At 52.5% G+C, this 12190-nt stretch overlaps 1 protein-coding gene across 1 annotated transcript, besides 3 other annotated features; it reads left to right on the forward strand.

Moving 5' to 3' along the window:
• Positions 575-1300: an enhancer, noted in NCBI's record as "H3K4me1 hESC enhancer chr3:129247433-129248158 (GRCh37/hg19 assembly coordinates)". NCBI's record gives its function as "activates a minimal SCP1, AML or CMV promoter by ChIP-STARR-seq in primed H9 embryonic stem cells {active_cell/tissue: H9 hESC(primed)}" and the evidence as "EXISTENCE:reporter gene assay evidence [ECO:0000049][PMID:30033119]".
• On the forward strand, positions 624-7329 carry RHO (rhodopsin). The gene is made up of 5 exons (NM_000539.3): positions 624-1079; positions 2861-3029; positions 4236-4401; positions 4518-4757; positions 5593-7329. Exons 1-5 carry the CDS (start codon positions 719-721, stop codon positions 5701-5703), a joined length of 1047 nt encoding a protein of 348 aa, NP_000530.1. The 5' UTR covers positions 624-718; the 3' UTR covers positions 5704-7329.
• Positions 1301-2026: an enhancer, noted in NCBI's record as "H3K27ac-H3K4me1 hESC enhancer chr3:129248159-129248884 (GRCh37/hg19 assembly coordinates)". NCBI's record gives its function as "activates a minimal SCP1, AML or CMV promoter by ChIP-STARR-seq in naive H9 embryonic stem cells {active_cell/tissue: H9 hESC(naive)}" and the evidence as "EXISTENCE:reporter gene assay evidence [ECO:0000049][PMID:30033119]".
• Positions 7141-7810: an enhancer, noted in NCBI's record as "H3K27ac hESC enhancer chr3:129253999-129254668 (GRCh37/hg19 assembly coordinates)". NCBI's record gives its function as "activates a minimal SCP1, AML or CMV promoter by ChIP-STARR-seq in naive H9 embryonic stem cells {active_cell/tissue: H9 hESC(naive)}" and the evidence as "EXISTENCE:reporter gene assay evidence [ECO:0000049][PMID:30033119]".

Here is a 12190-nt window from a genome sequence, read left to right on the forward strand (position 1 = left end):
CTGGGCAGGGCTGTTTCTTTCCATCTTTGTATTCCCAGGGGCCTGCAAATAAATGTTTAATGAACGAACAAGAGAGTGAATTCCAATTCCATGCAACAAGGATTGGGCTCCTGGGCCCTAGGCTATGTGTCTGGCACCAGAAACGGAAGCTGCAGGTTGCAGCCCCTGCCCTCATGGAGCTCCTCCTGTCAGAGGAGTGTGGGGACTGGATGACTCCAGAGGTAACTTGTGGGGGAACGAACAGGTAAGGGGCTGTGTGACGAGATGAGAGACTGGGAGAATAAACCAGAAAGTCTCTAGCTGTCCAGAGGACATAGCACAGAGGCCCATGGTCCCTATTTCAAACCCAGGCCACCAGACTGAGCTGGGACCTTGGGACAGACAAGTCATGCAGAAGTTAGGGGACCTTCTCCTCCCTTTTCCTGGATCCTGAGTACCTCTCCTCCCTGACCTCAGGCTTCCTCCTAGTGTCACCTTGGCCCCTCTTAGAAGCCAATTAGGCCCTCAGTTTCTGCAGCGGGGATTAATATGATTATGAACACCCCCAATCTCCCAGATGCTGATTCAGCCAGGAGCTTAGGAGGGGGAGGTCACTTTATAAGGGTCTGGGGGGGTCAGAACCCAGAGTCATCCAGCTGGAGCCCTGAGTGGCTGAGCTCAGGCCTTCGCAGCATTCTTGGGTGGGAGCAGCCACGGGTCAGCCACAAGGGCCACAGCCATGAATGGCACAGAAGGCCCTAACTTCTACGTGCCCTTCTCCAATGCGACGGGTGTGGTACGCAGCCCCTTCGAGTACCCACAGTACTACCTGGCTGAGCCATGGCAGTTCTCCATGCTGGCCGCCTACATGTTTCTGCTGATCGTGCTGGGCTTCCCCATCAACTTCCTCACGCTCTACGTCACCGTCCAGCACAAGAAGCTGCGCACGCCTCTCAACTACATCCTGCTCAACCTAGCCGTGGCTGACCTCTTCATGGTCCTAGGTGGCTTCACCAGCACCCTCTACACCTCTCTGCATGGATACTTCGTCTTCGGGCCCACAGGATGCAATTTGGAGGGCTTCTTTGCCACCCTGGGCGGTATGAGCCGGGTGTGGGTGGGGTGTGCAGGAGCCCGGGAGCATGGAGGGGTCTGGGAGAGTCCCGGGCTTGGCGGTGGTGGCTGAGAGGCCTTCTCCCTTCTCCTGTCCTGTCAATGTTATCCAAAGCCCTCATATATTCAGTCAACAAACACCATTCATGGTGATAGCCGGGCTGCTGTTTGTGCAGGGCTGGCACTGAACACTGCCTTGATCTTATTTGGAGCAATATGCGCTTGTCTAATTTCACAGCAAGAAAACTGAGCTGAGGCTCAAAGAAGTCAAGCGCCCTGCTGGGGCGTCACACAGGGACGGGTGCAGAGTTGAGTTGGAAGCCCGCATCTATCTCGGGCCATGTTTGCAGCACCAAGCCTCTGTTTCCCTTGGAGCAGCTGTGCTGAGTCAGACCCAGGCTGGGCACTGAGGGAGAGCTGGGCAAGCCAGACCCCTCCTCTCTGGGGGCCCAAGCTCAGGGTGGGAAGTGGATTTTCCATTCTCCAGTCATTGGGTCTTCCCTGTGCTGGGCAATGGGCTCGGTCCCCTCTGGCATCCTCTGCCTCCCCTCTCAGCCCCTGTCCTCAGGTGCCCCTCCAGCCTCCCTGCCGCGTTCCAAGTCTCCTGGTGTTGAGAACCGCAAGCAGCCGCTCTGAAGCAGTTCCTTTTTGCTTTAGAATAATGTCTTGCATTTAACAGGAAAACAGATGGGGTGCTGCAGGGATAACAGATCCCACTTAACAGAGAGGAAAACTGAGGCAGGGAGAGGGGAAGAGACTCATTTAGGGATGTGGCCAGGCAGCAACAAGAGCCTAGGTCTCCTGGCTGTGATCCAGGAATATCTCTGCTGAGATGCAGGAGGAGACGCTAGAAGCAGCCATTGCAAAGCTGGGTGACGGGGAGAGCTTACCGCCAGCCACAAGCGTCTCTCTGCCAGCCTTGCCCTGTCTCCCCCATGTCCAGGCTGCTGCCTCGGTCCCATTCTCAGGGAATCTCTGGCCATTGTTGGGTGTTTGTTGCATTCAATAATCACAGATCACTCAGTTCTGGCCAGAAGGTGGGTGTGCCACTTACGGGTGGTTGTTCTCTGCAGGGTCAGTCCCAGTTTACAAATATTGTCCCTTTCACTGTTAGGAATGTCCCAGTTTGGTTGATTAACTATATGGCCACTCTCCCTATGGAACTTCATGGGGTGGTGAGCAGGACAGATGTCTGAATTCCATCATTTCCTTCTTCTTCCTCTGGGCAAAACATTGCACATTGCTTCATGGCTCCTAGGAGAGGCCCCCACATGTCCGGGTTATTTCATTTCCCGAGAAGGGAGAGGGAGGAAGGACTGCCAATTCTGGGTTTCCACCACCTCTGCATTCCTTCCCAACAAGGAACTCTGCCCCACATTAGGATGCATTCTTCTGCTAAACACACACACACACACACACACACACAACACACACACACACACACACACACACACACACACAAAACTCCCTACCGGGTTCCCAGTTCAATCCTGACCCCCTGATCTGATTCGTGTCCCTTATGGGCCCAGAGCGCTAAGCAAATAACTTCCCCCATTCCCTGGAATTTCTTTGCCCAGCTCTCCTCAGCGTGTGGTCCCTCTGCCCCTTCCCCCTCCTCCCAGCACCAAGCTCTCTCCTTCCCCAAGGCCTCCTCAAATCCCTCTCCCACTCCTGGTTGCCTTCCTAGCTACCCTCTCCCTGTCTAGGGGGGAGTGCACCCTCCTTAGGCAGTGGGGTCTGTGCTGACCGCCTGCTGACTGCCTTGCAGGTGAAATTGCCCTGTGGTCCTTGGTGGTCCTGGCCATCGAGCGGTACGTGGTGGTGTGTAAGCCCATGAGCAACTTCCGCTTCGGGGAGAACCATGCCATCATGGGCGTTGCCTTCACCTGGGTCATGGCGCTGGCCTGCGCCGCACCCCCACTCGCCGGCTGGTCCAGGTAATGGCACTGAGCAGAAGGGAAGAAGCTCCGGGGGCTCTTTGTAGGGTCCTCCAGTCAGGACTCAAACCCAGTAGTGTCTGGTTCCAGGCACTGACCTTGTATGTCTCCTGGCCCAAATGCCCACTCAGGGTAGGGGTGTAGGGCAGAAGAAGAAACAGACTCTAATGTTGCTACAAGGGCTGGTCCCATCTCCTGAGCCCCATGTCAAACAGAATCCAAGACATCCCAACCCTTCACCTTGGCTGTGCCCCTAATCCTCAACTAAGCTAGGCGCAAATTCCAATCCTCTTTGGTCTAGTACCCCGGGGGCAGCCCCCTCTAACCTTGGGCCTCAGCAGCAGGGGAGGCCACACCTTCCTAGTGCAGGTGGCCATATTGTGGCCCCTTGGAACTGGGTCCCACTCAGCCTCTAGGCGATTGTCTCCTAATGGGGCTGAGATGAGACACAGTGGGGACAGTGGTTTGGACAATAGGACTGGTGACTCTGGTCCCCAGAGGCCTCATGTCCCTCTGTCTCCAGAAAATTCCCACTCTCACTTCCCTTTCCTCCTCAGTCTTGCTAGGGTCCATTTCTTACCCCTTGCTGAATTTGAGCCCACCCCCTGGACTTTTTCCCCATCTTCTCCAATCTGGCCTAGTTCTATCCTCTGGAAGCAGAGCCGCTGGACGCTCTGGGTTTCCTGAGGCCCGTCCACTGTCACCAATATCAGGAACCATTGCCACGTCCTAATGACGTGCGCTGGAAGCCTCTAGTTTCCAGAAGCTGCACAAAGATCCCTTAGATACTCTGTGTGTCCATCTTTGGCCTGGAAAATACTCTCACCCTGGGGCTAGGAAGACCTCGGTTTGTACAAACTTCCTCAAATGCAGAGCCTGAGGGCTCTCCCCACCTCCTCACCAACCCTCTGCGTGGCATAGCCCTAGCCTCAGCGGGCAGTGGATGCTGGGGCTGGGCATGCAGGGAGAGGCTGGGTGGTGTCATCTGGTAACGCAGCCACCAAACAATGAAGCGACACTGATTCCACAAGGTGCATCTGCATCCCCATCTGATCCATTCCATCCTGTCACCCAGCCATGCAGACGTTTATGATCCCCTTTTCCAGGGAGGGAATGTGAAGCCCCAGAAAGGGCCAGCGCTCGGCAGCCACCTTGGCTGTTCCCAAGTCCCTCACAGGCAGGGTCTCCCTACCTGCCTGTCCTCAGGTACATCCCCGAGGGCCTGCAGTGCTCGTGTGGAATCGACTACTACACGCTCAAGCCGGAGGTCAACAACGAGTCTTTTGTCATCTACATGTTCGTGGTCCACTTCACCATCCCCATGATTATCATCTTTTTCTGCTATGGGCAGCTCGTCTTCACCGTCAAGGAGGTACGGGCCGGGGGGTGGGCGGCCTCACGGCTCTGAGGGTCCAGCCCCCAGCATGCATCTGCGGCTCCTGCTCCCTGGAGGAGCCATGGTCTGGACCCGGGTCCCGTGTCCTGCAGGCCGCTGCCCAGCAGCAGGAGTCAGCCACCACACAGAAGGCAGAGAAGGAGGTCACCCGCATGGTCATCATCATGGTCATCGCTTTCCTGATCTGCTGGGTGCCCTACGCCAGCGTGGCATTCTACATCTTCACCCACCAGGGCTCCAACTTCGGTCCCATCTTCATGACCATCCCAGCGTTCTTTGCCAAGAGCGCCGCCATCTACAACCCTGTCATCTATATCATGATGAACAAGCAGGTGCCTACTGCGGGTGGGAGGGCCCCAGTGCCCCAGGCCACAGGCGCTGCCTGCCAAGGACAAGCTACTTCCCAGGGCAGGGGAGGGGGCTCCATCAGGGTTACTGGCAGCAGTCTTGGGTCAGCAGTCCCAATGGGGAGTGTGTGAGAAATGCAGATTCCTGGCCCCACTCAGAACTGCTGAATCTCAGGGTGGGCCCAGGAACCTGCATTTCCAGCAAGCCCTCCACAGGTGGCTCAGATGCTCACTCAGGTGGGAGAAGCTCCAGTCAGCTAGTTCTGGAAGCCCAATGTCAAAGTCAGAAGGACCCAAGTCGGGAATGGGATGGGCCAGTCTCCATAAAGCTGAATAAGGAGCTAAAAAGTCTTATTCTGAGGGGTAAAGGGGTAAAGGGTTCCTCGGAGAGGTACCTCCGAGGGGTAAACAGTTGGGTAAACAGTCTCTGAAGTCAGCTCTGCCATTTTCTAGCTGTATGGCCCTGGGCAAGTCAATTTCCTTCTCTGTGCTTTGGTTTCCTCATCCATAGAAAGGTAGAAAGGGCAAAACACCAAACTCTTGGATTACAAGAGATAATTTACAGAACACCCTTGGCACACAGAGGGCACCATGAAATGTCACGGGTGACACAGCCCCCTTGTGCTCAGTCCCTGGCATCTCTAGGGGTGAGGAGCGTCTGCCTAGCAGGTTCCCTCCAGGAAGCTGGATTTGAGTGGATGGGGCGCTGGAATCGTGAGGGGCAGAAGCAGGCAAAGGGTCGGGGCGAACCTCACTAACGTGCCAGTTCCAAGCACACTGTGGGCAGCCCTGGCCCTGACTCAAGCCTCTTGCCTTCCAGTTCCGGAACTGCATGCTCACCACCATCTGCTGCGGCAAGAACCCACTGGGTGACGATGAGGCCTCTGCTACCGTGTCCAAGACGGAGACGAGCCAGGTGGCCCCGGCCTAAGACCTGCCTAGGACTCTGTGGCCGACTATAGGCGTCTCCCATCCCCTACACCTTCCCCCAGCCACAGCCATCCCACCAGGAGCAGCGCCTGTGCAGAATGAACGAAGTCACATAGGCTCCTTAATTTTTTTTTTTTTTTTAAGAAATAATTAATGAGGCTCCTCACTCACCTGGGACAGCCTGAGAAGGGACATCCACCAAGACCTACTGATCTGGAGTCCCACGTTCCCCAAGGCCAGCGGGATGTGTGCCCCTCCTCCTCCCAACTCATCTTTCAGGAACACGAGGATTCTTGCTTTCTGGAAAAGTGTCCCAGCTTAGGGATAAGTGTCTAGCACAGAATGGGGCACACAGTAGGTGCTTAATAAATGCTGGATGGATGCAGGAAGGAATGGAGGAATGAATGGGAAGGGAGAACATATCTATCCTCTCAGACCCTCGCAGCAGCAGCAACTCATACTTGGCTAATGATATGGAGCAGTTGTTTTTCCCTCCCTGGGCCTCACTTTCTTCTCCTATAAAATGGAAATCCCAGATCCCTGGTCCTGCCGACACGCAGCTACTGAGAAGACCAAAAGAGGTGTGTGTGTGTCTATGTGTGTGTTTCAGCACTTTGTAAATAGCAAGAAGCTGTACAGATTCTAGTTAATGTTGTGAATAACATCAATTAATGTAACTAGTTAATTACTATGATTATCACCTCCTGATAGTGAACATTTTGAGATTGGGCATTCAGATGATGGGGTTTCACCCAACCTTGGGGCAGGTTTTTAAAAATTAGCTAGGCATCAAGGCCAGACCAGGGCTGGGGGTTGGGCTGTAGGCAGGGACAGTCACAGGAATGCAGAATGCAGTCATCAGACCTGAAAAAACAACACTGGGGGAGGGGGACGGTGAAGGCCAAGTTCCCAATGAGGGTGAGATTGGGCCTGGGGTCTCACCCCTAGTGTGGGGCCCCAGGTCCCGTGCCTCCCCTTCCCAATGTGGCCTATGGAGAGACAGGCCTTTCTCTCAGCCTCTGGAAGCCACCTGCTCTTTTGCTCTAGCACCTGGGTCCCAGCATCTAGAGCATGGAGCCTCTAGAAGCCATGCTCACCCGCCCACATTTAATTAACAGCTGAGTCCCTGATGTCATCCTTATCTCGAAGAGCTTAGAAACAAAGAGTGGGAAATTCCACTGGGCCTACCTTCCTTGGGGATGTTCATGGGCCCCAGTTTCCAGTTTCCCTTGCCAGACAAGCCCATCTTCAGCAGTTGCTAGTCCATTCTCCATTCTGGAGAATCTGCTCCAAAAAGCTGGCCACATCTCTGAGGTGTCAGAATTAAGCTGCCTCAGTAACTGCTCCCCCTTCTCCATATAAGCAAAGCCAGAAGCTCTAGCTTTACCCAGCTCTGCCTGGAGACTAAGGCAAATTGGGCCATTAAAAGCTCAGCTCCTATGTTGGTATTAACGGTGGTGGGTTTTGTTGCTTTCACACTCTATCCACAGGATAGATTGAAACTGCCAGCTTCCACCTGATCCCTGACCCTGGGATGGCTGGATTGAGCAATGAGCAGAGCCAAGCAGCACAGAGTCCCCTGGGGCTAGAGGTGGAGGAGGCAGTCCTGGGAATGGGAAAAACCCCAACTTTGGGGTCATAGAGGCACAGGTAACCCATAAAACTGCAAACAAGCTTTGTCACCTCTCAGAGCTTCCTTATCTGCAAAAAAGAATCTTAAAACTGACCTTGGCTGGGCACAGTGGCTCACACCTCTAATCCCAGCACTTTGGGAGGCCAAGGTGGGCAGATCACGAGGTCAGGAGTTTGAGACCAGCCTGACCAACACGGTGAAACCCTGTCTCTACTAAAAATACAAAAATCAGCTGGGCATGGTGGCGCGTGCCTGTAATCCCAGCTATTCAGTGGGCTGAGGCAGGAGAATCGCTTGAACCTGGGAGGTGGAGGTTGCAGTGAGCCGAGATTGCGCCACTGCACTCCAGCCTGAGCAACAGAGGGACAGTCTGTCTCCAAACAAAACAAAACAAACAAACAAACAAACAAACAAACAAAAAACAACAACAAAAAAACCACTTGATCCTAAGGGGATTAGATGCGACTGTGGACTTTAAGTGGCCAGCCTACTGCCTGGCATGCAGCAGATGAGACTATGGCAATACTGGGCTTCAGCTCAGAGCTGGCCTTACTAGAGACCCTGTCCCAAAGGGGAAAAGGATGGAGCTAAAGCTCCCGAGAGTCACCCCCTCCTCCGAGGTGAGAAAGGAGGGCAGGAGCATGAGATAGCCGATCCTCGGTGCCTTGGTGAGGCTGGGGCAAATCATGCTGGGATCTCTATCATTGTCCCTCTTTACTGTGACTCACTAGATAATATCAGTCAGGATACTTTTGGTCACAAGTGATAGGAAATCCAACTCATTTGGGCTGAAGCAAAAGGGACACATTGTTGGCTCACATGAACAAAAAGCCCGGGGCTTCAGGCACAGGGTATCACCATGACTGAGATGGGGATTAATTCTGTGATTGGCCAAGTCTAGGTCACCTGATCATACGTAACTCATTTATGCCTGAGGTTGCAATTTTTTGGATTTTTGCAATCAGACCTTGGCGATGACCTTGAGCAGTAGGATATAAATAACTCCCACATGCTTAGCGTTCCAATAATGGAATACTAGGCATACGCAGGTCTAACTGCATCACCATGGCTGGAATGGGGATTCATCCTCTGATTGGTCAGACCTAGGTCACATGCTCACCCTGCAGCCCAAGCAGGCTGAATGGGGAGAGGTAGGTTTCACAAAGGAAAGCCCAGGTGCTGTTACCTGAAGTAGGAGGGCAGGAGGCAGGGTGAGCAGAGCCAACATCAACCCAGAGGGAATGGAATCTAAGTTGGTGTTTTCTGGGCACGTGGCTGGACCAGGCCTCCCTCCCTCATCATCTCAGGGACATGAGGGAGAAGATTCCTATGGGTGGTCCCGAAGGTCTCACCCTTTGTTTTGGATGCTGTGTTGGGCCAGGGTGGCAGTGGGTGGGACAGTGGCATCTTAGCTGCCCTGACTTGCAGGCAGCCCATTCCAGCTCCCCGCCCCAACCCCAACCCAGCCCACTTTTTCTGAGAAATGGTACATTTGCCCCAGCCTCATGTCCAGAGGAAAATTTTACTCTAACACCAGAACATTCTCTGGTTTGTCCTGATAGACAAGAAAGCCTCCACCTCCTTAATTTACAAATGACTTGACAGCTGCTTCGTGGGCACTTGCATACATAAAGAGAAGGAGCTGCTGCCTTAAGTTGCAGCAAGTTTGGCCCCACCTCATCTCCAGGCAGCCAGCAGATGTACAGAGTGCCTCTTGGGTACAATGGCAGCTCCATTCAACCAAACCTGAGCAAGCTGACCCCATGCCAGAATGCACTGGGGACTCGGAGATGAATTGGAGCCTAGAGACCAAGTCTCTAGGCTATGACCTGGGCTGCCTCACGGCCACAGAGCTCTGTCACGCCAAGGGAGAGATGCACCCCTGAAAGCCTGAGGTGCCCCATAAGGAGAGAGTGGGTGCCCTTCCCAACTATGTAGCTTCAGGGCAAGTTCTCTTTCTTTCTTTTTCTTTCTTTCTCTTTCTTTCTTTCTTTCTTTCTTTCTTTCTTTCTTTCTTTCTTTCTTTCTTTCTTTCTTTCTTTCTTTCTTTCTTTCTTTCTTTGCTCCTTCCTTCCTTCCTTGCTTCTTTCTTTCTTTCTTCTTTTTCTTTTCTTTTTTTTTTTTGAGATGGGGTCTCACTTTGTCACCCAGACTGGAGTACAGTGGTGCCCTCATAGCTCACTGTAGCCTCGACTTCTCAGTTTCAAGCAATCCTTCTGTCTCAGCCTCTCAAGTAGCCAGGACCACAGGCACACCCCACCACACCCAACTTATTTTTTATTTTTTGTGGAGATGGAGTCTCCCTATGTTGCCCAGGCTGGTTTTGAACTTCCAGCCTCAAACGATCCTCCTGCCTTGGCCTCTCAAAGTGCTGCGACTACAGGCATGAGCCACAGCACTTGGTTTGGGCAAGTCCTTGAATTACTCCAAGACTCAGGCCCCTCAGCTATAAAGGAGAGAATTATCCCACTTGGTAGAATTGTCTATAGGGACTAATAAGATTAATGGTGTAAAGGGTGCTGTGCACAGTAGACATTCAATAAATGTGAATTCCCTTCCCAGAGACATGAACTAAGTTCAGAGGAGGCAGCCGCTTGTGTGGTGGGAAATTGACTTGTAAGGAGATTAACACAGAGAGGGGGGTCTTGCAAAAGTGGGGAAGCAAGTGCTAACTGCCCCCAGTATTCATTCCCTTTCCTTCTATTAACAATATCATCCTAGGTTCTAGCTGGGCACCTGGTTGCTCAACACAAGACAGCATCTTTCGGCTTCTTTTGCACCTGTGGTGGCAGGATATTAAGGTCCAGTCATTGTAGGGTACTCAGAAATGATGTGTGCAGTCTCTAGGTTGTGCATTTTGGAGAATGGAAGTGCCCTCCTTTTCCTCTCATCTTTTCTTCCTGCTGGCTGGAAAGCAGTCATGATGACTGGAGCTTCCGCACCCATATTAGATCATGAGATAGAATCTGAGGACAGAGAATGGCAAAGTGTTCTCTGGTGTGTCTCACCATGGTTCCCCCATGCTGCCTTAACAGCCCTGGCCAACTTATGCTTAAAGAGTTTCAAGAGGGAAGAGTTTCATGGTTTCTTGTTTAAGTCACTTGTGATTTTGGAGTTATAGCCAATTTCTTTTCCTTCCTTCCTTTCCCTCCCTCCCTCCCTCCCTCCCTCCCTCCCTTCCTTCCTTCCTTCCTTCCTTCCTTTCCTTCTTTCTTTTCTGAGACAGAGTCTTGCTCTATTGCCCAGGCTGGAGTGCAGTGGCATAATCTTGGCTCACTACAACCTCTACCTCCTGGGTTCAAGCAATTCTCCTGCCTCAGCCTCCCGAGTAGCTGGGATTACAGGCACGCACCACCTTGCCTGGCTAATTTTTTGTATTTTTAGTAGAGACGGGGTTTTGCCATGTTGCCCAGGCTGATCTTGAACTCCTGAGCTCAAGTAATCCGCCTGCCTCAGCCTCCCAAAGTGCTGAGATTACAGGCATGAGCCACCACGCCTGGCCTATAGCCAATTTCTTTACTAAAACAAAGGGCTTCCAGGCTGCAGCCCAGGAACTCAGGAAGATCGAAGTGCAGGTCCTCTCTGAACTTCAGCTTCTCCATGTATAAATAAAATAGTGAATATAAAATATTTACATGGATGTCGAATGTGGCAGCCATTACTATTTCTACCCCGCCCTTTATATATTTATTGACTAAAAGTCAGGAAAGAAAAGTCACAAATGTCCTGATGTTACAGGGGCTGGAGTTACACAAAGCAGACACCCTAAAACTGCTTCCAAAAGTTCAGAACTGTGATCTTCAGAACTGTAGGGCAGTTCACATGTAGGCTGACCCCATTCAGTGTTTCATAACTAGTTCTCAGCAGAAGTTACATTTCATACAGGCCTCAGTAAAAAATCACAGAAGCTCACCAAGCGGCCCGTTGTCCCTGCAGTCTGATGCTCAGAATTACCATTTCCCTGTAAAAAGGCAATCCTCTAGAGGAATTTTTAGATCATGCAGCACATTTTAGAGCTTCTTCCCTTCAAATGCGAAACTTGATCCTGGCACAGCCGGGAGCATGGTTTCGGAAGAAGCTCGTGGGAATGTTTCTATCACTGAGTGTTGCTCTACTTCTCAGTTCTTGGAAGTGTCCCATAAATGTGATCAAAATTGCTGCCCCCACTTGTGCCAACTTCCATTTGCCTCTTTGCTTCGTCTTCTGCTCCAGCATAGTCCCGGAAGAGGGTTTTCAGGCCTCCAGCACTGGGACCTCCAGGTATCACAGTAATGGGTACTGAGCACCGACCGTGTGCCAGGTGCTGTGCTGGGCACCAGGGATACCACCAGGAACAAGACAGATACAGCCCTGCTCCTCAACCAGAGCGCAAAGGCTGGAGACACGGAAGCAGAGCTGCGATTCAGAGCGCTTGAGGCTCTCCAGGAGCAAGGCTGGGGCCTGGCAGAGCCCAGAGGAGGGGCCCCTAACCTTCTAGAGGCCAGGGAAGGCTTTTCTGAAGATGCGGCATCTACTCTGAGGCCAAAAGATGAGTGGGAAAGAGTCCAGAGAAGGGGGGGCAGTGCATACAGAGGGGCTTTCTAAGGCCAAGTGTATCAATTGACTTGTACGGCAAGACAGACAACCCCAACACTTCATGGCTTAAAACAACAAGCTGCATATCATTCATGACTCTGGATCAGCCAGGCAGATCTGCTGATCTGAACCAAGCTTGGTCAATTTCGGCTGGGTTCATTCAAGCATCTGTGGTCAACTGGAGGGTTGGCTGGGGACTGGCTGGTTGACCCTCAGATGGCTGGGTAACAGGGGTGATGGCCATAGGCCTCAGCATCTGGCAGGCTAGCTAGGAGCTAGT

This window comes from Homo sapiens, chromosome 3, assembly GCF_000001405.40.
Source record: "Homo sapiens chromosome 3, GRCh38.p14 Primary Assembly".
NCBI classification, from domain to species: domain Eukaryota; kingdom Metazoa; phylum Chordata; class Mammalia; order Primates; family Hominidae; genus Homo; species Homo sapiens.